At 37.8% G+C, this 24,150-nt stretch overlaps 1 protein-coding gene and 1 long non-coding RNA gene across 9 annotated transcripts in view; one reads left to right on the forward strand and one right to left on the reverse strand.

Moving 5' to 3' along the window:
- The window catches only part of QSER1 (glutamine and serine rich 1), an 87,460-nt gene extending 74,274 nt beyond the window's left edge, over positions 1-13,186 (forward strand). For 4 of the 7 annotated variants that reach the window (XM_047427611.1, NM_001076786.3, NM_001416036.1 and 1 more), the window contains 4 exons: positions 1,962-2,059; positions 6,313-6,465; positions 8,164-8,259; positions 9,250-13,186. In XM_047427611.1, coding sequence (XP_047283567.1) covers positions 1,962-2,059; positions 6,313-6,465; positions 8,164-8,259; positions 9,250-9,390 — 488 coding nt within the window. In that variant the 3' untranslated portion in view covers positions 9,391-13,186. Of the gene's footprint in view, positions 1-1,961; positions 2,060-6,312; positions 6,466-8,163; positions 8,547-9,249 lie in introns of those variants that run through there. The other 3 variants (NM_001416039.1, XM_017018330.2, NM_001416037.1) reach the window with 2 other exon arrangements.
- The window catches only part of LOC105376615 (uncharacterized), a 59,453-nt gene that overhangs the window by 10,747 nt on the left and 24,556 nt on the right, over positions 1-24,150 (reverse strand). The gene's annotated exons all lie outside the window — the stretch shown is intronic.

Below are 24,150 nucleotides of genomic sequence, written 5' to 3' on the forward strand. Positions count from 1 at the left end.
ATATGGAAAGTGCCCATCAGCCGATGAGTGAATAAAGAAAATATAGTGAATACTATTCAGCCATAAAAAAGAGCAAAATAATGTCTTTTGCAGCAACTTGGGTGGAACTGGAGGTCATTATTCTAACTGAAGTAACTCAGGAATGGAGAACCAAATATCACATGTTCTCACTTATAAGTGGGAGCTAAGCTATAGGTACACAAAGGCAGCGTGGTATAATGGACATTGGAGACTCAGAAGGGGAGAGGGTGAGAAAGGGGTAAGGGATGAAAAACTACTTATGGGGTACAATGTACACTACTTGGGTGATGGATGCACTAAAATCCCAGACTTCACCACTATACAGCTCATCCATGTAACCCAAACCACCTGTACCCCTAAAGCTATTGAAATTTTTAAAAAGTTTTTTTTAAAGAAGAAAATAAAAGGTACAGTAAGAATATGGCATTATAGTCTTATGGAACCACCATTGTATATGTGGTCTGTCATTGTCAAAAATGTCATTATGCAGTGCATGACTATATACTGTTTTATTATGTTCACATACTTAGACATATATTCTAATTTAACCTTAAAACAACTTAGACAGCCATTTTGTGGATTAAGACAGGTTCAGAGAGGTTAAGTGACTTGCTTAAGGGCCCACAAACTTGAAACTGGCAGAGAAAGGATTAAAATTAAAGTCTTCTAATTTCTGGTCTAGTGCTTTTCTTACCACCTAATCAGAGACAGTAACCTGTATATCAGTCATTTTCAAGTAATTAGGAGCTGGAAGGGACTTTAGATATTACCTAGTCTGAAACATTTATTTTGTAAACTAAAGTTCAAAAGAGATTAAAGTTAAAGAACAGGTTAGAGGTTGAAGAACCATGATTAAAACTCAGCTAATCCCAGGTCAGCATTTTTGCTATTAAATGTTATATTCCTTGCATCATAAAATATGCTTCTCTTTGTAGTAGTCATTTCTGTATAGTTGTATTTTGAAAGATTTTTAAAAATTGCTTATCAGTGTTTTCTGATTTTTCTCTAAGGGGAGAAAATTTTTTAAGATTATTTTTAAATCACAAATGTTTAAAACTTACTTTTGTAGAATGTAAATACAGTATTAGAACAGATTGAATCACTAATAGAAAGACTATGTAAACAATCATTTTACTTAGCTGTGAAACTTGTGACCTGGATTCTGGGTTGTTGTTTTTTTTCAGAAGGTTATTAGAGGCAGTTAGTATTATAAAATATAATAAAGTACTATGCTGGTAAATTAAGAAAGAATCTAATAATCTAAAATGTTTAATGCTACACCAAAACTAATTATATTCTAAAAGTACTTTTCTTAATGGAGCTTAAAGTTCAGAGTGGTGACACTGAAAGCCAAAAGCTTTGAATAGGAATCTTTGTCATAATTTTACTCTCCCCTCTTTTTCTAAAATAACTATTTTGATTCATATTTTTGGTACTGGGTTTTGATCATTTTTCTTCCCCTACTTTTTCTTTGCTTCAAGTTAAAGTGACTTAATATCCCTTGGTCATACTCAGTGTTTTGTTAGATCAGTTTGTATTTTGTAATTGTTCAGATTGTTCAGAGGGTAAATGAGGTCTGGAGGAATTAGGCAGCTTGCCTATTCGTCACATAGCTGCCACATATCAGTTCTATTCAGTTAAAATCCAGTTCTAGTTTATCCAGCAGTTGTAGTTCAGCTAAAACTTAGAACTTTGGATCCTCATGTAGTGCTCATCCCATCATCATACTGAGCTGCCTCTTTCTCACTTGCTACTATAAACCTACTTTTCAAGTTAACCTTTGTTCAGAAAGCTTCATGTCCAATTTTTTTGCAATCAGTATTTTACATATGCCAATGAATTTAGTGTATTTTAATATATAAATGTTTTGAGAAAAAGTTGGATTTTTTTCAAAAATATTTATTGATAGTTTATCCTGTTAAATTATAATGTTGTTTCAGATGAGCTACTTTTACCTCATATGAAAAAAATAGATGGCATGCTAAATGATAACCGAAAGAGACTTCTTTTGAATCTTCATTTGGATCAATCATTCAAGGTATTTCCTTCTGATGACTTATTAGCAAAACTCAATGGCAGTCATAGTCTTAAGTATAATAGGAAGGAAATTTATGAAAATTATTCACTTACAACATTTTTCACCTAATGAAAATTTGGCTTTTATTCATTGTAAGTCCATTTAGTTTGTCTGCTTAGTGTTAATCACTTGCTTTTCTCCACTTAAATTTATTTTTTAGGCATTTATAGTTATCTATTATATCTTCTATAAAATAATTTCCAAATGTTCTTTTAACGCTTTTCAAAATTTTTACATTTTGTCTGTAATTAAAATTAGCTTTTCCTTAGCACAGTTATCAAAATTCACCGTACTTGCCTCATTTATTCAATATCAGAGGAAACGCTGATTTTTATAAGGGTAGGAAATGTATATAATTCTATATGTTAATATATCTTGGCAATATAAGTTGGTTTTGGTGTTATCAGAAATATAGAAAAAGCTAATCTAAACTCAACTCAGATAATTTTTCATAGAAGCTAACTTGGTAGTTTAAAAATTTCTAGCTTTTTTTCTTTTCTTTTCTTTTTTTTTTTTTTTTGAGACAGAGTCTAGCTCTGTCATCCAGGCTACATTGCAGTGGCACAACCTTGGCTCGCTGCAACCTCTGCCTCCTGAGTTCAAGCAGTTCTTGTGCCTCAGCCTCCTGAGTAGCTGGGACTACAGGTGCCCACCACCACACCTGGCTAATTTTGGTATTTTTAGTAGAGACAGGATTTTACCATGTTGGCCAGTCTGGTCTCGAACTCCTGACCTCAGATGATCCGCCCACCTTGGCCTCCCAAAGTGTTGGGATTACAGGCGTGAGCCACTGCACCCGGCCGAGCTTTTTATTTCAGTTGGAGAAAAGGCATGCAAATTTATTAACGTGCACATGGGAGAGAATCACAGAATGATTACTCCGTAGCCTTTCTTATTCAAAGTATAATATCACATCAAGAATCATTTGGTTATATCTACCTTAGGGAACATTTTTTAATTGATGGTAACAATATTATACATTTGTATAACTTGTTCACATCCCTGTTTTATGTGAACTCCATGTAAAAGTGAGTATTGACTTCATTTCAATTAGGTGAAAACTGAGGCCATTAGATTGCATTCAAAATTAAATGACACAAAACTATCATAGTAGTCATGTATTCTTCACTGCCATGTATTCGCAGGAAGAAAAAAAATTTAGAAGCTAGTAAGAAATCCAGTACTAAGAATTTGGTCTCCTGACTCCTAGTCCAGTTTTTGTTTGTTCGTTTTTGTTTTTGAGATGGAGTCTTGTTCTTTCGCCGAGGCTGGAGTCTAGTGGTGTGATCTCAGCCCACTGCCATCTCCACCTCCTGAGTTCAAGAGATTCTCCTGCCTCAGCCTCCCAAGTAGCTGGGTCCACAAGCATGCACCACCACATCTGGCTAATTTTTGTGTTTTCAGTAGAGACAGGGTTTCACCATGTTGGTCAGGCTGGTCTCGAACTCCTGACTTCAAGTGATCCGCCTACTTCCGCCTCCCAAAGTGCTGGGATTAATAGGCATGAGCCACGGCACCCAGCCCTAGCCCAGTGTTTTCTGCTTAACTGCTGCCTTTAAATAAATGAAATATTCTCTTGTGAAATACTATATTTTGTGGAGACAAGGGAACATTTTTAGATAGGTGTTTTCTAAAGATTTACTAAATCTTAAAAATTACCAGGTTTGGCTAATCACTGTTGAAATGTCAAACCAGTTCTCTAACAAGATTTCTAATTCTGTTATTAGTTATTAATTTTGATAATTGTCATATAAAGCAATTTGCTTTTTTTTTTTTTTTTTTTTTTTTGAGACAGACTCTCGCTCTGTCTCCTAGGCTGAAGTGCAGTGGCGCGATCTCCGCCCACTGCAACCTCCTCCTCTCCTGCCTCAGTCTCTGGAGTGGCTGGGATGGCCTGGCTAATTTTTGTATTTTTAGTAGAGACAGGATTTCACCATGTTGGCCAGGCTGGTCTTGAACTCCTGACTTCAAGTGATCTGCCTGCCTCTGCCTCCCAAAGTGCTGGGATTACAGGTGTAATCCATGCCCAGCCTTAGCAATTTGCATTTCAAAGCAAAATTACATAATATTAAGAGTTAGACTGATCTGAAGTAAAATATTACAAATAGTAGAGAAAGAAAGATTTTTCTGTTCTTTAGAAATAATTAGTGTGCTTTCCTATGTTGATCTTGGTGATGTTAGGAGTCCTGAAGCTTTTTCAAGGTAATGATGTTCTGCCTTTTTCTGAAATCTGTGTACTTCAGATCATCTTAAGCATTTTGTGGTCATTGGAAAGATTTAAATTTTCTTCTTTCATCTCCACTGACTTAGTGTGTGTTGTTTCCAAATTTAGAATCTTTAGACTTTAAATTCTATTTGTTGCAAATAATAATTCTGGATCCAAAAATTGTCAAGGTGCATGTTTTAAATAGAAAACACCAGAGTACATGATAAGTGCACAAATAATCTGAGAAAGGAACGAAGCTCGAACGTGATGGTAGCTCACTGTGGTAGAAAATGCCAAAAGTGTTATTGTTTCTATCAAATGAAATTTAGTGCCCTTCTACACTTATACTAAGAAAAATTTAGGTTGCCTGTTTTTAAAAAGGTACCGTTTTCGGGACTGGCGCGGTGGCTCACGCCTGAAATCCCAGCACTTTGGGAGGCCGAGGTGGGCGGATCATGAGGTCAGGAGATCGAGACCATCCTGGCTAACACAGAGAAACCCCATCTCTACTAAAAATACAAAAAATTAGCCGGGCGTGGTGTCAGGCGCCTGTAGTCCCAGCTACTCGGGAGGCTGAGGCAGGAGAATGGCGTGAACCCAGGAGGCAGAGCTTGCAGTGAGCCGAGATCACGCCACTGCACTCTAGCCTGGATGACAGAGCAAGACTCCATCTCAAAAAAAAAAAAAAACAAAACAGTACTGTTTTCAGGGCCCCAATACCAGGTGCTTGGAAACAATAGATGAGTTTGGAGAAGAGTGGCTTTAAAGGTTGTAACTGTTTATAAAACACTTGCGCTTATCGAATTTGGACTGCATTCTGAATCATAAATATAATAGGAGGACTTCAACATTTTTAGTGTCAAAATAATAAATGATGGTAGGAGCTCGATTTAATTTTTATAAAGTCATAATCAAACTAGTTAAATGTTGCCACAAGTATCATTCAGTTATTGTTTGTAGCTTTTCAGTCAGGCAGAATGATTTGCCAAGTAGGTAAGGGCATAAATAGGCCAGTGGCTTATTTATTTATTTATTTATTTATTTATTTATTTATTTATTTATTTAGAGATAGAGTCTCTCTCTGTCACCCAGACTGGAGTGCAGTGGCATGATATTAGCTCAGTACAACCTCTGCCTCCCGAGTTCAAGCGATTCTCTTACCTCAGCCTCCTGAGTAGTTGGGATTACAGGTGTGCACCACCTCACCCAGCTAATTTTTGTATTTTTAGTAGAGACAAGGTTTTGCCATGTTGGTCAGGCTGGTCTCGAACTCCTGGCCTCAAGTAATTTGCCCACCTTGGCCTCCCAAAGTGCTGGGATTACAGGCATGAGCCACCATTCCTGGCCACCAGTGGCTTTTAAAGGATGGAGTGGAATTGGTTTTGCCACATAACCACTGTCAAAAAACCCATCATGCTCTGTTTTAGGATCTTATCTTACAAGTACTTGTCTTGCAGTCAAAATAAGCAAGAGAAGAGTGAAGCCAGAGAAGCACTACAGTGCCGCTTCTCCTCTGTCGTCATCTTCACCAGAGGCAGATGACTTCTTTATAGCAAGGCCCAGCCACATTTCACGGGGCAAGCAGTGGTTTAAGTGGTAGGGCTTTAGTGAAACATGTATGTCTTCCTTTCTCCTGCCTTGAAGCCAGAGACATTACTAGAAAGAACTCTTGGCCCTGTTAAGGGTTCCCAGTGTGGTGTGCTGTTGCTTAAATAAGCAGGTCATAGAGTTGGCTCAGATTTAAGGGATTTAAGGGAAATAGATTACATATCCAATAGGAAGGGCTGCAAAGAGCTTATGACCATGTTTAAACCCCAACCTGTGTATGTATATGTATGCATATCCCATCAGTACACACACACCTCTCTGCAAATAGGTGTTTGTGTGCACACACACCTCTCTGCAAATAGGTGTTTGTGTGCACACACACTTCTAAATTTTAGATAGCTAGAAGTAGTTTAGGTTAGTTTTCTTCTGGTGTCAGTTATTTTGCTTCATTGTTTTCCAGAATGCTTTGGAAAGTTTTCCTGAACTAACAATAATTACTCGAGATTCTAAAGCAAAGAGTGGAGGAACTGCTATTTCTAAAATCAAAATGAATGGCAAAGCCTATAATAAGAAAACTCTAAGGACTTCTAAAACAACCACCAAATCTGCACAAGTAAGTGTAATTGATTATTAATGTAACTATACCTTTTCCAATTGTTAATACAATTCCTACTTAAAACATTGAAACAAGCAAATATTTTACTATGTTGTCATTAAGTGTGAAGGTTTTTCAGGTAGGAATAAGCGTCACTGGCCTGAGGAACAGGGACGCATGGTGGTTTATTGTTTTTCTATAGCACAGTATCAGGCATATAATATGTGCTCACAAATTTCTTAAATTGACTAATATGGAAGAAATCATCTCGTGCTCATGTTTATATATTTGTAGGTAGTTTTTCATTTTTTAAATTGCATATATTATGTACAAAATGTTTTGAAATGTGTGTACATTGTGAAATGGCTAATTCAAACTCATTAACATATGCATTACTTGTAATATAGGTATATTTTTAATTGTATATGCATGCACATAGATAAGTAAGTGTGCAGAACACATTCCATAAAAAGATGAAATGTTTATTTCATATCTGCAAAGTCATTAAAATTGGAATTTGTTCATCTTCAAACATAGTATAAATTGTTATAACCTTTTCAGAAAACAGTTTGGCAACATATCAACTTCACAGCAAAAATGTATTCAGGGCTAAGCACAATGGCTCAAGCCTATAATCCCAGCACTTTGGGAGGCTGAGGCAGGAGGATCACTTGAGTCCAGGTGTTCGAGACCAGTCTTGGCAACAAAGCAAGGCCCCATGTCTACCCTGGGGGGAGAAAAAAAAATTAGCCAGGCATGGTGCCATGCACCTGTAGTCCTAGCTACTTGAGAAGCTGAGTGGGAGGATCGCTTGAGTCCAGGGAATTGAGACTGCAGTGAGCTGTGATTGCACCCCTGCACTCCAGCCTGGGTGACAGAATGAGACACTGTCTCAAAAAAAAAAAAAAAAGTATTCTGTAGAAATAGATTCAGAAATGCATAAAAATACATACCTTTGCTCATTGTGGAATTGTTTGTAAGAGCAATCCAATTATGTACCACCAGTGTGAGGTTAGATAAATGAAGAGCCACGTAATGTCATACTACGTGCTTTTTATAAAGAAGAGATAGATTTGTTCATTCTTTCAGAAAAATTTTTTTGAGTGCCTATAGTATGCCAAGTACAGTTCTAAGTACTAGAGATACAACAGTGAAAACTGGTTAAAAGTCCTTACCCTCATATAGTTTGTATTTGGGGAGGATGGGGAGGGACAGCTATATGTACTAAATGAAAAGATAGCCAATTATTAGTTAGGTCAAAAAACACGTTGGAAGAAAGAAGAAAAGTTGCTAGACAATATGTATAGTGTGATTCCCTTCTCATTACAAAATTAGTGTTATTAACATACATGTTATACCTGGGGGAAAACATTAAAAAATATATAACATGCCATTAGCTTTGTTTAGCTCTGAAGCAGGAGATTATAGGGAGCTTTTATTTTATAAATCATCTCATATGTTTATTGTTTAAATTTTCCTATAATGCTTAAGTTTTTTCAATAATGCATATTTATATGCAGGATAAAGAATAAGATTTTAAAATATAATTTAAATTCTTATTTTGAATAAGTCTCTCCATATTAACCCAACTGAATACCTACCCATATATGTCATTTTCAACATTGCCATTGAGACTTTTGATCTAGTATTTTCCTCAAAGTGTTCTTAGCTCAGATACTCCATGAAATGTATCTATAAACTTTTTTCTTTTTATAGGAGTTTGCTGTCGATCCAGAGAAAATACAGTTGTATTCTTTGTATCATTCACTCCATCATTATAAGTACCATGTTTATCTGATATGTAAGGATGAGGTAATTTCTTCTCATTTACTTAAAAAAAATGTTTTTCAGAATGTTAAGGAGACTCTAGCCATAGTATTTTGGAGTGTTTTAAAGAGAGTTGTGAAATACATGTGTGTATGTATTTTGTCTATGTATTCTGTAAATAATGACTTGATTTATTGTTCTGAGTCTCTCTGCTATGTTTTGTGCTCAGATTTACCCGAGCCTCACCACCTCTTGTAGGAGCTATAATTGGTAATGTTTTGAAGCTGTTGGTGCTTGCTTTACATCGCCATAATAAATGATGTTTTATTGCATTTTGTTCTCTCACAGTGTATGATGATCTTGCTTTAATTCACTTCAGTCACTGCTTTGACATCTCACTGCCTTACTTATTACTTAGAATGGCCTTATCCCACTTAATTGCAGAGAAGTGGGGTTTTGTGCCTTGGCATGAAAAACTGAAAGTTAAAATTTAATTGTAGCTTTTAAGTTGTTCAGAGATTATACATGACAAAATATCACCTCATGGATGGGATATAAGCATTAATTTCCACAGCCATGCTAAATGGTTGTAGACAATACTACCTTATTTGACCAGCACTATCACTTCTTTTCATTATAAAGGGTCCAAGGCTATATCTAATGTGTTTGACAGTAGTCTGGTATGGAAAGATGCTCATAAATCTAACCTTTATATAGCAAAAGAGAAAGCAAAGATGGTGATGCAACATAGGTTCACTGTTTTTACAATGCTCTAAAATGCAGAATCGACTCCAAAATTTGTCATTTGACTTTTAACGTAATTGGAAGAAATGGAGAAAGTCTGAAGTACTTTTTCTAGCCTTCCTTTCTGCCACCTTGGAGCCAAAGATGAGAGGATGAGATCTCACCCAAATTTAGCTGAAATAATCATTCTCCATGGATAGGATTAAGAAAAAAATAAAATACCAGTACTTGTAGTTGAACTTAAATATGATGTGATAAGTATAAGCTAATTTGGCGATTTTCTTTTTTTAGATTTCTTCGGTGCAGAAAAAAAATGAAGATTTAGGACAGGAGGAAATTGTTCAACTTTGTATGAAAAATGTAAAATGGGTGGAGGACCTCTTTGAAAAATTTGGAGAACTTCTAAATCATGTACAGCAGAAATGTTCCTGACTTTTCCACAAAAATCCCATCTTTTTATAGCACTAATGAAATGGCAGATATGGGGTGGTCAAAGATAATCAGATGTCAAGTAGTGGCCTTCTGCAGGCCGGCCGCTTCCATCATGGAACTGTCATTACCACCTCTGCTGAAGGACAGTGGTGCGGCCTTTAGGAACGAAGTTAGTCCTCTGGAAATGGACCTAAATCCCACCACATTTTTACCCTAATGAATGATTTTTCTATTTTGTAAACCATTGGGTAACTTGAGTCATATTTTCAGAAACATTTTTTGACAAATGATGAAGCATGCACTAAGTATAATTTTTTTTTATTGCTAGAGAAGTAACACTTAAAGTAACGATTTTTTTTTTCTGACTCCGGCTAAACACCAGAATGACAGAGAAGTGGCAGAAACCATATGTTTGTACTCACATCTGGCCACAAAACCAGAAATACTGTACATTATGTAAAGAGGTCTGGTGTGGTGTGACATCCTGTATAAGAATATCATCAATTTAAAATATAAAATTTGGAAACTATTCTGCTTTACAGACTCCTTTTACTCTTAACATGTTCAGGAAACTGGATGTGGAATTGGTGCAATTCTCTGACTGCTTTTTGTGTCAAATTATATTGTGATAAAAAAACAATGACATACTATTTTCCCTATCGCAAAGAAAAGTATTTTCGTTTATACTGTTTTTTCCTTTGGAAAATTTTCAATTGTACATTTTATTTCACTGATAGTTGTATTTTTCACAAGGAAAATGTTGTGGTTATAATTACGTTTGATATATCTCTACAACACCTTTTGTTATTTTCAGTAAATCTTAGTTATATGTTGAATTTCTAATGTGAATTCTATCTTGAGGTAACCATTTTTTTCATACAGATTTGCTTCAGTGTTATCCAGAATATGCATTCAGTACTAGAATTAGTTTAGCTTTATAAATAGGGCTGTGTTAGACACTGCAGTAATTTTCTAATTCATAAAATAAACTTCTTACTAAACTAGCACTTGATTAACTTGTTGAGGTAAAAATCTAACTACATTTACATTTTGAAGAATAAAACTGATAATTAGACTATTTGCAGTGTTAAACACAGCTTCCTTAACTCTTAGAACTGGAAGTTGTAGAGCTCTCCTTTTGGTGCCTTTCCAGCCTTTATACACACTATTGTAGCTTTCTTAGGTTTGATAGGTAGCGTTTCAAGTAGTTTAGCTGAGACAGTGAATGTATTAGGTTCAACATGACCTTGTGTTTTATTTGTGTTTGCCAACAGGATGCCTTATTTGTTTGAGAAAAAGATGTACTAGTGTCATTCTAAACTATCTCCTTTTTTAGGATTCTAAAGAAGTTAATCATCATCCTTTTGTTTATTTTACCACCATTTAGTGCCTTAAATCCTATCAAGAAAGCAGTGTTACTGCTCAATGCCCAAATAAGACACGCGGATATTGCTATTGTCTTGCTTTTGAGTTAACAGGCCAACTTTTTATACTTAAAACCTCAGTAAACTGGCAAAGAATTGAAGGTAATGTGATTTGATTTGAGAATAAAACATTGTAGCATTGGGTGAAAAATGAGTATTTGAGTTAAGCTTACATATTTATTTCTGATGGTTATCTTATTAAAAGCAATAATCCTTAATACTGTACTTGCCATTAGACTAGGTACTCAGTAATGGAAGTTTCTCTCAAGGGTTAAATGTTCCATTTTTGAAAGTTTTAAAAAACCTGTTTGGGTGGTTTATTTTGAAAACAAAAGTAACCTATTAGATTCATTTTGCCTAACTCATATGAGAGATGCAGAGTATCAACAGTGGGAGCATCATAAAATGAATTTTCCAAGTGGAGAGGAGTAGGAAGCAGCCATATGATAGTATTGACTCTGGACAGAATTGATGTCTTTCGTTTCCAAAGTGCAGAGTAGGGAACTACATTTCCTAATGTGGCATTGTAAATATACATCTTTATATTACTCTTCCAGCCTACGTTCCTAAATCATTGATAATTTAAATATTTTTTAAAGCCACCTTAATTTAGGTAGCTCTTGGAATCGATGTTTGAATTCACTAGCCACATTTTCTTCATGATATGCCTCGTGGCAAACAAAGATGTTTCCTTAAGATGAATCTTACATTTCCCATAGAAAATAACCCATTTCCTTTGGCACTGCAGTTGCCCTCAAACTGCTTGCAGTTGTATTCATTTTAGTACAACAAAGGTTTTCATAATATGGGAGGCCAAGTCTATGATACTGCCTCAAAGAGACCCTATTGTGTAGATGCATCATCTTCTCTCATTTGATCCATAGAGCATAGGCAAAGATGTCAACCTCAGGCCTTAGAGAAAAGTGGAAATGTTATTATGACAGCCGTCCATGAGTTATCGCTTTGTATGAAGTTAAATACAGTCATGCGTTGCTTAACAGCAGGGATACATTCTGAGAAATGCATTGTTAGGCAATTCCGTTGTGCGAACATCCTAGTGTACTTACACAAACCTAGGTGGCATAGCCCACAACGTACCCAGGCTATATGGTAAACCTGTACAGCATGTTACTGTACTGAATACTGTAGGCAGTTGTAACACAATGGTATTTGTGTATCTAGACATAGAAAACATACAGTAAGAATATGGTATTATAATCTTACGGGACCACTGTCAAATACGCGGTCTGTCTTTGAAAAGTTGTAATGCGGCGCATGACTATAAATACCTAGCTGGTTAGCATTTACATTCCTTGCCAGGGAGTTTGAAATTTATACTATAGAAATAACTTTAGGTTTTAGGTAGAGTTAAAGAGGTAAAGCACATGTTGCCACAACCCAGGAAAGTATTTTTAAGAAAGATTGGATTTTCCTACCTTTAGAGATCTAAAAAAAATTTAATATAAAAAATCATTTTGTGTTGGTGTTTATTACTAGTTCAGATGAGTGGCTGCTGAAGGGGCCCCCTTGTCATTTTCATTATAACCCAATTTCCACTTATTTGAACTCTTAAGTCATAAATGTATAATGACTTATGAATTAGCACAGTTAAGTTGACACTAGAAACTGCCCATTTCTGTATTACACTATCAAATAGGAAACATTGGAAAGATGGGGAAAAAAATCTTATTTTAAAATGGCTTAGAAAGTTTTCAGATTACTTTGAAAATTCTAAACTTCTTTCTGTTTCCAAAACTTGAAAATATGTAGATGGACTCATGCATTAAGACTGTTTTCAAAGCTTTCCTCACATTTTTAAAGTGTGATTTTCCTTTTAATATACATATTTATTTTCTTTAAAGCAGCTATATCCCAACCCATGACTTTGGAGATATACCTATAAAACCAATATAACAGCAGGGTTATTGAAGCAGCTTTCTCAAATGTTGCTTCAGATGTGCAAGTTGCAAATTTTATTGTATTTGTAGAATACAATTTTTGTTTTAAACTGTATTTCAATCTATTTCTCCAAGATGCTTTTCATATAGAGTGAAATATCCCAGGATAACTGCTTCTGTGTCAGTCGCATTTGACGCATAACTGCACAAATGAACAGTGTATACTCTTGGTTGTGCATTAACTTACATGTATAATTTTTGGCATCTGTGTTCACAAATGCATGTGTTAGCAAATCACCTTTATTTATAAGTGACAATAATTGAAGTTAAGGATATAAAGAAACCTGCATTTGTAGTCCAGCGTTTTCATTTGGTCCATAACACAATGTATGGAAATGTGAAAGACAATTTTGTACATTTGTTTGTTACTAACTCAGATCATTAAAATGAAAACAATTTTTTTAAACAAGAAAATCAGAATGTTTGGGGTTTTTTTGTTGTTGTTTCTTTTGTTTTTTTAAGAATTGAAAACAGGTATCATATAGGCAAAATCATCATCATGTTACAGATTCCTCACACAAACTAAACAGTTATTAGTTACAAATGGCATAGGGCCCACCCATTATTTTCTCAGATTATTTTAAGTTAGTATTTGATGAATATGCATCCTTAGCTAACAATGGCAGACCATATTTAAGAGTTTCTGTTTTAAGATATAACTCTTTTAGTCCTTTTCCACCTATAAAGAGTTATAAATCTGCCAGGTGGGTGCAGTGGCTTACACCTGTAATCTCAGCACTTTGGGAGGCCGAGGTGGGTGGATCATGAGGTCAGGAGATCAAGACTGTCCTGGCCAACATGGTGAAACCCCATCTTTACTAAAAATACAAAAATTAGCTGGGCGTGGTGGCGCGTGCCTGTAATCCCAGCTGCGCAGGAGGCTGAGGCAGGAGAATCGCTTGAACCAGGGAGTCAGAAGTTGCAGTGAGCCAAGATCGCGTCACTACACTCCTGCCTGGTGACAGAGCAAGACTCCATCAAAAAAAAAAGTATAAATCCATTAACTTATAAATCCATTAACTTACATCTTCCTAGTTTTGTTTATCTGAAAATAGTCCATAGCTAGAAGTAATTGATAATATCAAGCTATTTCTGTCATCTCTATACAACTATTGAGTAAGTTAAAAAAATAAAAACGTGTCCTGACTGGACTAGTGAGCTGATTTTCTGAGTAAGATTCTGCCTTAATCTTCATATAATATTTCTAGCATATTAAGTATTTCAAGTGAAGATACTGTCAAATGTGCTTGCTCTCTTGTAGTTTGGATTATAAAAGCACTGAATCTTCATGCCTTTATACAGCTAGAAAATAAATATTGTAATAAATGATCTGCATCAAATATTTATCATCTCAGTAAAGTCTGAAAAATTTTTTTTGGTTCTATGACATCTGTTTTATTCTCCATTGTTTGCTGAAATTTTAATATTTTCATTTTAGTATTTTCCTCAAAATATTTTAGAAAATAGTCATTATTCAAGTGATCTATATAAACCTGAATGACAGCACATACACTACACTGCTCTGTTAATGTTTTGTTACTGTCTTTGTTCTGTTTTGTTTTTGTGACAGAGCCTTGCTCTGTTGCCCAGGCTGGAGTGCAGTGGCCCGATCTCAGCTCACTGCAGCCTCAGCCTCCCAAATAGCTAGAATTTTAGGTACGAGCCACCACGCCTGGCTAATTTTTGTATTTTTGGTAGAGACAGGGTTTCGCCATGTTGCCCAGGCTGGTCTCAAACTTTGGGCTTCAAGTGATCTGCCCACCTCAGCCTCCCAAAGTGCTGGGATTACAGGCGTGAGTCATTGCGCCTGGCCTACTGTCTGGTTTTGTTTGTTTTACTATACTTTGTCTCAGACACACTCTATAAACTGAACCTGAACCTTCTCTAGGAAGAAGTGAAAGAGGTTACTTCTACTCTTTGGTTTTCCAAATAGAAATATTTTATTACTCGTAAAATAGTAAAGCTACTCTGGCTTGTTTTTTAAAAACTCAAAACAATAGGGAAAAGTGTAAAGAAAGAGATAAGCTACTCTCAGTGGAGGCTTTTTTTAAGGTGGTGTGGGGTCTCCCTCCATTGCCCAGGCTGGAGTTCAGTGGTGCGATCACTGCTCACTGCAGCTTCCACCTCCTGGGCTCAAGGGATCCTCCCACCTCAGACTCAAGTAGCTGGGACTACAGGCACGCACCACCACACCGTGCTAATTTTTGTAGTTTTTGTAGAGATGCGGTTTCACCATGTTGCCTAGGCTAGTCTGAAACTCCTGGACTCCAGTGATCCACCCACCTAGGCCTTCAAAGTGCTGGGATTACAGGCCTGAGCCACTGCACCTGGCCATACTAAGTCTTGATACTGGCCTAAAACATGCTTTCAGTTCAATATGGGATGGGTTACAAGATTTGGTACTATGGGTTGTTCCTTTTCTGTAGCATAGCTTTAAGTGAATTCCTAAATTTGGTATACCAATGTTTAAATTACAAAGCACATTCTAAAGTGAAATAAAAAAATGATATGGGTTATTGATCATTTTAGGTTATGTATATATCTCTTCTTTAGGTAGGATGAATAATTTAGAGCTGACTGGTTTCAAATAAAAGGAAGATACAATTACCAATTGGTCTGTTGTTAAACCTTATCTATTTTATGATGTTAATCAGGAGTCAAGATATTGCTTTACAGAAATAATGTGTCTTGCATATAATTTACCCGTGGGCAAAGTTTACTATTTTCACCTAAAGTATAGATTTTCTTTTAATTTTACTCCTTAAGGTATTTAGAATAAGACAACAACAAAATTTAAGACATAGATTAAAAAATAAAGGGCATAGTAGAAATGTTTTTCTAAAACCGCATCCAGGAATATCTTTCACCTGCCTGCCCTCCCCCATGGTGGCCCAGGCCTGAGGGCATCTAAATTCCCTGAAAGTATACGGTTTTTCCCTTGCCTCCAGTCCTTCCTGTTCCTCCTGTTGAATTAGTCTTCTTCACATCTCAGTCTTCAGATTTCACTTTAACTTCACTTCTACTGAACCAGATTAGGTTTTATTGTTTGTTTGTTCCCTTGTTTTGAGATAGGATCTCAGCTCTGTCACCCAGGCTGGAGTGTAGTGGCACCATCACAGCTCACTTCTGCCTTGAACTCCTGGGCTCAAGCAATCCTCCTGCCTTAGCTTCCTGAGTATCTGGGATTACAAGCACACACCACTGCACCCAGCTAATTTTAAAATTTTTTGTAGAGATGGAGTCTCTCTTTGTTGCCCAGGCTGGTCTCGAACTCCTGGCTTTAAGAGATCTTCCTGCCTTGGCCTCCCAAAGTGCTGGGATTATACATGTGAACCACTGTGCCCGGCCCAGATTAGGTTTTAATCCAATGGACCAGATTAAGTGCCCTCAGTTCCTCCAGCATAGCATTTATGATGCTTTGTTGTGGTTGTGTGATTGCTGGACTTTCTTTGCTGCTGGGTCCTATCATCTGATAATAGGACTTATGAGTTTTGCTCACCACTGCATCCCCATCATCTCATGCACTGTCTGGAACATAGTATATTCTCATTAAACATTTGGCAAATAACTGGACATATGAAAAAAAGTCACAGGGAATATTAAAAAGGTTAAGAACAGGAAAGTATTCGTTGGATTTTGTAATAAAGACACAACTTTAGGAGAATTGCAACTTCAGAAGAAAATGACTACATCAACAAAAATAGCTGACATTTTATCAAAGTGAAATGCAGTAGCCATCATTTTTTACATTTTGCCCTCACATGCAGAAAGAGCTCAGGGACCAGGACATACATTCCTCTATCTGGGGCTTGAGATTCTCCAATAGAATAATTGGGGAAGAAAGTACTGTCAAAAAAAATTTTTTAGCCTGAGGTGGTGTCACACTCAGGAGGCTGAGGCGGGAGGATTGCTTGAGCCCGAGTTCAAGGTTGCAGTGAGCTATGATTCACCACTGCTCTCAAGCTGGGCAACCCTGTCTTAAAAAAATAAAGTTTCTGTGAGATGGACTCATGAACAAAACACTCTGGTAGGGGGAGTTTATCTATTTGAGGAGGGTAAGGGAAGATTTCATGGAAACAATGATTAGCTGAACCTCAGCGGTTAGGAAGACAACAGAGCTGGCTGACAAAGAAGGCATAATGCTTTGTTTTCAGGAGGATGGTTTCTCCTCCAGTTTTGCCACGAAACTAGCTCGATCCTCAGGCATGCCATGTGAAACCTAATCTGAATCTGTTTTCTCATCCTGAAAGTGAAGTAAGAAACAGTCTTTTAAAGCTATTAATATTCTTTGATTCTAGATAGACCGGAATGTTGGGAGAAATGCAAAGCGTCTCAGTTAGCAGCACCAGAAGATCAGAGCAGCAGAATAGTAAGAATGGAAAGGTCTTACTACATTTTTCACTATCTTGCAAGATTCATTTCAAAACCATTAATCAGCTATTTTATACATACACACACACCTTAGCAATCTAGTTCATCTTGTGACACTAGTGTAAAATTAATTAGAGACGTCGTGTCGCCAGTCAATTTTGAAATGCTTAGAGTCTATGTACATAGTCTTCATCTTTATATCTCCAACAGCACAAAGTATTTCACTCCATAGGTACCTAATAGGTGTGTGTTGCATAGATGGGTGAATATATAAATGAGAGTTTACTTGGAATCAGTTTAAAGTGTTTTCAAACTGGCCTCTTAAAATAGGTCAAAATACCCTGTTGTCAGTGGTACATTCCCTGCTTTCCTTTTCTTCTTTTTTTTTTTTTTTCCAGAGGGAGTCTCGCTCTGTCACCAGGCTGGAGTGCAGTGGCGTGATCTCGGCTCACTGCAGTCTCCGCCTACCGGGTTCAAGCCATTCTCCTGCCTCAGCCTCCTGAGTAGCTAGGATTACAGGTGCCCGCCACCACCCCTGGCTAATTTTTGTATTTTTAGCAGAGACAGGGTTTCACCATGTTGGCCAGGATGGTCTCAATCTCCTGACCTCGTGATCTGCCCACCTTGGCCTCCCAAAGTGCTGGGATTACAGGCATGAGCCACTGCGCCCAGCCTCCCTTTCTGTTTTTAAGGGAAAGCACCTCTCTTACATTACCAATTATTTTCATATCACTCTTTAATTCTCCTCACTCTGCTTACTTCACAACATACCAGAGTCCATTCTCCTAATTTGTATTTTGAATTTCTATTTAATCCATGGAAGTGAATGGGCTATCATCAGAGAGCAGGTATCTTGGAGCAGTGAAGCAAGAGAATTCAAAACACTAGCAACAGGCTAACAGAAAGAACCTGGCTTTAGAATGAAGTTTTAAAATTAACCTTGTTTACTTAGAATTTATCAATGACTTAAGAACTGTTTATGGGTCACTCAGTAGAAGATCTTTATAATGTCAGTCCTCCATTGAGTTTGTTAGAAGATAATATTTGACTTAAGTAGAAGTCAGAAGTTAGGGTTTTTCATAGCTGACGCTAATGTGAATGCATTAACATTATTACAGGAGTTTGCAAACAATCCACTATCAAAAAGATTACATATTAAAGCATATTTTAAAGGCACTACAAAACAAAAACTTGCTTTAACTGTGCCCATACTGCTCATGAACAAATATTCTGCCATCCAAATGAGAAATACAAGAAGTCCACCAGCATGGTGGCTCATACCTGTAATCCCGACACTTTGGGAGGCCAAGGTGGACAGATTGCTTGAACCCAGGAGTTCAAGACCAGTCTGGTAACAAAGCAAGACCTTGTCTCTACTAAAAATTTTAAAAATTAGCCGGGTGTGGTGGTGCTACTTGGGAGGCTAAGGCAAGAGGATCACTTGAGTCCGAGACATTAGGGCTGCAGTGGGCTACGATCATGCCACTGCACTCCAGCCTGAATGAGCGAGACCCTGTCTCAAAAAAAAAAAAAAAAAAAAAAGAGATAAGAAAAAGAAAAGTCATCGCTGTGGCTGCTATAGCTGAGAGCCTCACTATTTTTGTCTCCTCAGGCTGCCATAACAAAATGCCATAGACTGGGTGGCTTAAACAACAGAAATTCATTTTCTCATAATTCTGGAGCCTAAAAATCCCAGATCAAGGCTGGCAGGGTCAGTTGCTGGCAGACAGCCCTCACATGGCAGAGAGATGGCAAGCCCTCTGGTGTACCTTCTTATAAGGGAACTAATCCCATAATTAGATCCCCATCCTCATGACCTCAATAAACTCTAATTACCTCTCAAAAGTATCTCTAAATACTATCACATTGGGGCTGGACAGGGTTGCTCACAGCTGTAATCCCAGCACTTTGCCAGGCTGAGGTGGGAGGATCACTTGAGGTCAGAAGTTTGAGACCGACCTGACCAACATAGTGAAACCACATCTCTACTAAAAATACAAAAATTAGCTGGGTGTGGTGGTGGGCGCCTGTAGTCCCAGCTACTTGAGAGGCTGAGGCAAGACAATCTCTTGAACCCAGGAGGCAGAGGTTGTAGTCAGCCGAGATGGCACCACTGCACACCAGCCTGGGCGACACAGCAAGACTCAGTCTCAAAATAAATAAATAAATACATACATACATACATACATACATACATACATACTATCACATTGGGGGTTAGGGCTTCAATATAAGAATTGCAGGAGTACACAAACATGAGGTCCATAACAACCACTGACTGAGGTGTCAGCTACAGCACAGAAAAGGTGAAAGCCTTGCAGATAGTCATCACTGATGGGCTTAAAATTCTCTCTCTAGTCTATCCAGAAGCAAGAACATCATTTATTTACACTCTTCTCTTCTGCTGTAGGATTTTCAGATGTTCACAGATTAACTTTTAGCACAGACTATAAAGACCAGTAGTAGAGACCTTTGCCATTGAGTCATATTCTTTGAACTTCACAAAGGGAATTGTATCCTGTCAGTTCCTAAATAAATCTTACCTTTCCCTATCTCTCTCCTCTGTCTTCTTTTTGGTCCAAACCACCATCATCTCATGCCAGGACTACTATAATAATCTCTGAACTGCTGCCTCCCCCTTCCCAACTGCTTTCCTTTAGTCCATTCTCCACAAAGCCGTCTGATTTTCAAACAACTCTGATCATGTGAGTCCCACTGGAAATCCATCAGTGCTACCTACTGTTGTTAGGATAAAGGCAAAAATGCTAATGGCAACTTCTACTTTGAGCCATCATGGACTAACAGGGCCAGATGTATCTTTCTGCTTTACTTAAAAGTGAGGACAAAAGAAGTGAAAATTGTTTTCAAACATTGAACAATGTGCAGCACAGGACAGTAATCTTGAGAGAAGGGAAACAAATCAGTAGTAAGAAAACAATTCTTAAAAGGACAAAGGACCTAAGTAAACATTTCTCTGAAGACATACAAATGACTAGCAGGTATACAGAAAAATGATCAGCATTGGTCGGGTGTGGTGGCTCATGCCTGTAATCCCAGCACTTTGGGAGGCTGAGGTAGGTGGATCACCTGAGGTCAGGAGTTCGAGATCAGCCTGACCAACATGGTGAAACCCCATCTCTACTAAAAATATAAAAATTGGCTGGGTGTGGTGGTGCATGCCTGTAATCGCAGCTACTTGGGAGGCTGAGGCAGGAACCCGGCAGGCAGAGGTTGCAGTGAGCTGAGATTGCACCACTGGACTCCAGCCTGGGTGATAGAGCGAGACTGCATCTTAAAACACACACACACACACACACACACACAAAGTTAGCTTTTATTTTTTATTTATTTTTTATTTTTTTGAGACGAAGTCTCTCTCTCTGTCCCCCAGGCTGGAGTGCAATGGCATGATCCTGGCTCACTGCAACCTCCACCTCCTAGGTTCAAGTGATTCTCCTGCCTCAGGCTCCTGAGTAGCTGGGATTACAGGCATCAGCCACCAAGTCTGGCTAAATTTTGTATTTTTAGTAGAGACAGCGATTCACCATGTTGGCCAGGCTGTCTCAAACTCCTGACCTCAAGTGATCCACCCACCTTAGCCTCCCAAAGTGCTGGGATTATAAGCATGAGCAACTGCACCCAGACATTAGCTTACTTTTTCTAAACACGAAGAGAAATATTAGTTCAATATCCTGTAAATCGGGGTCCCCAACCCCCAGGCCGTGAACCGATACCAGTCTGTGGCCTGTTAGCAACCAGGCCACACAGCACAAGGTGAGTGGCTGGCAAGCAAGTGAAACTTGGTCTCTATTTACAGCCACTCCCCATTGCTCACATTACTGCCTGAGCTCCACCTCCTGTCAGATCAGTCACGGCGTTAGATTCTCATAGGAGCAGAACCCTACTGTGAACCACGCGTGCAAGGGATCTAGAATCTTATGCTCCTTAGGAGAATCTAACTAATGCCTAATGATCTGAGGTGGAATAGTTTCATGCCAAAACCATCACCCCCACTCCTGGTCTGTGGAAAGATTTTCTTCCATGAAACTGGTCCCTGGTGCCAAAAAGGCTGGGGACTGCTGCCATAAATGACAGCAGGACCCCAGATGAATTTCTATTAAATCATCTGCTAAATACCAGAAGTAATGACCCTATCAATATTGCAGTCTGTTCAAAATGTAGCAAGACGAGCCACAGACAAAACCCCTCAGACACCAAGTTAAAGAAGGAAGGGCTTTATTCGGCCAGGAGCATCGGCAAAACTCACATCTCAAAAACCGAGCTTCCATAGTGAGCAATTCCTGTCCCTTTTAAGGGCTTACAGCTCTAAGGGGGTCCACATGAGAGGGTCGTGATCGATTGAGCAAGCAGTGGGTACATGACTGGGGGCTGCATGCACCGGTAATCAGACAGAACAGAACAGGACAGGGATTTTCACAATGATTTTCCATACAATGTCTGAAATCTATAGATAACACAAGTAGTTAGGTCAGGGGTTGATTTTTAACTACCAGGCCCAGGGCGTGGTGCTGCGCTATCTGCCTGTGGATTCCATTTCTACCTTTTAGTTTTTACTTCTTCTTTCTTTGGAGGAAGAAATTGGGCATAAGACAATATGAGGGGTGGTCTCCTCCCTTAAAAACACATTACAATGCTATAGTAATTAAAACAGTGTGGTGCTGACATAAAGACAAATGCACAGACCAATGGAACAGAATAGAATGCCCAGAAATAATCCTTCATGTATATGGTCAACTGAATTTTCTTCTGTTCTTTTGCACAAATAATTTTTGACAAGAGTGCCACAACCACACTATATGGAAAGGACAGTGTCTTCAACAAATGGTGCTGATAGAACAATATCCACCCATGAAAGTTGGAAGTTGGAACCTCACCTTACACTATATAAGATATTTTATCTCAAAATGGATTAAAGACCTAAATATAAGACCTAAAACTATAAAACTCTTAGAAGAAGAAAACATAGGAGGAAAGTTTCATGACATTGTACTTGGCAATGATTTCTTGGATATGACACCAAAGGCACAGGCAATGAAAGTGAAAATAGATACATGGGACTACATCAAACTCAAAAACTCCTGCATACCAAAGGAAAGAACAAAGTGCAAGGCAACTTACAGAATTAAAGAAAATAATTACAAATTACACATCTAATAAAAGGTTAATATCCAGAATACATAAAGAACTCCTACAACTCAAAAACAAAAAAAAAGTAGCCCATTTAAAAAACAAGCAAAGCACCTGAACACGTATTTCTCCAAAAAAGATATACAAATACAAACAAGCATATGAATTAATGCTCATCATCACCAACCATTAAAGAAATGCAATTCAAAATTACAACAAGGTATCACCTCACACCCATTAGGATGGCCATGGGAAGGGAAGGGATGGGAAGGGGAGGGGAGAGGAGGGGAGTGGAGGGGAGGGGAGTGGAGGGAAGGGAGTAGTGGCTGATGTCTGTAATTCCAGCATTTTGGGAGGCCGAGGCAGGAGGATCACTTGAGCCCAGGAATTTGAGACCAGCTTGGGAAACACAGTGAGACTCTATATATTTTTTAAAAATTGTATAAAGAAAAAAAAATAAGTGTTGGTGCATATGTGGAAAAACTGGAACACTTGTGCATTGCTGGTGGCAATGTAAAATGGTTCAGTCACCATGGAAAATCAGTAAGGATATTCCCCAACAAACTAAACATAGAATTACCTTATGATCCAGCAATCTCACTTCTGGATACATATCCAAAAGATATGAAAGCAGGGTCTAGAGATATTTGCATACCCATATTAATTACATTATTCACAATTACAAAAATGCCTAAATGCCCATTGACAGATGAACAGATAAAGAAAATATGGTATATCTATACAATGGAATATTATTCAGACTTAAAAATACAAGGAAATCCTGCCACATATTACAACCTGGATTAACCTTGAGGACATTATGCTAAGTGAAATAAGCCAGTAACATAAAGATAAATACTGTATGATTCCACTTATAGGAGGTATATAGAGTAGTCAAAATCATAGAAACAGAATTGTGGTTCCTAGAGGCTGGGAGAGGGGAAAAAAGGAGTTGTGGGATGGATACAGACTTTCAGTTTTGCAAAATAAAAAGTTTCTAGAGATCTGGTACACAAGAAAGTGAAAAATAGTTAACACCACTGAACCGTATACTTAAAATAGTTAAACAGCCAGCCTGGGCAACATAGGGAGACCCCCATCTCTACAAAAAGAAAAGAAAGAAGAAAAAATTAGCCCAGCATGTTGGTTCATGCCTGTGGTCTACGCTACTTGAGAGGCTGAGGAGGGAGAATTGCTTGGGCCCAGGAGATTGAGGCTGCAGTGAGCCATGATCATGTGGTTTCTCTCCAGCCTGGTGACAGAGTGAGCCCCTGTCTAAAATAAATAAATAAATAAATAAATAAATAAATAAATAAATAAATAAATAAAGATTAAGAGGGTAAAAGTCTATACTATGTGTTTTTTACCAAAATTAATGGCCATCAGTTATAAAAGGTCTTGAGTTTGATATATTGATAAATTAAATTCTTTGGAAATTTCCTCTAATTCTTTTACCTTGATTTTAAAAGTGAGGATACCCTCCCTATCCACAGTTGACTGAGCTAGAAATAATAGAAATCATTTTTGATACTTTCATTCTCTGACCACATCTAATCATCCACCTAGTTCTATACATTCACTGAGCACCATACACATCAATTAATAGGTGCAGAAGAAATACGCATAGAAGGAAGGAAGGAAGAAATCTGTTCAACTTTCCCTTCCCCACCTCCATCTAACTTCCCTTCAGTACAAACTAATAGTACTTTTTAGACCAAGTCCTTATCACCTGTCTCTTTCATGCTTCACTGGTCTCCTTGCCCTCAGATTCTTTTTTTTTTTTTTTTTAAGACAAGGTCTCACTCTGTCACCCAGGCTGGAGTGCAATGGCACGATCTCGGCTCACTGCAACCTCCACC

This window comes from Homo sapiens, chromosome 11 (genome assembly GCF_000001405.40).
Source record: "Homo sapiens chromosome 11, GRCh38.p14 Primary Assembly".
NCBI lineage: Eukaryota > Metazoa > Chordata > Mammalia > Primates > Hominidae > Homo > Homo sapiens.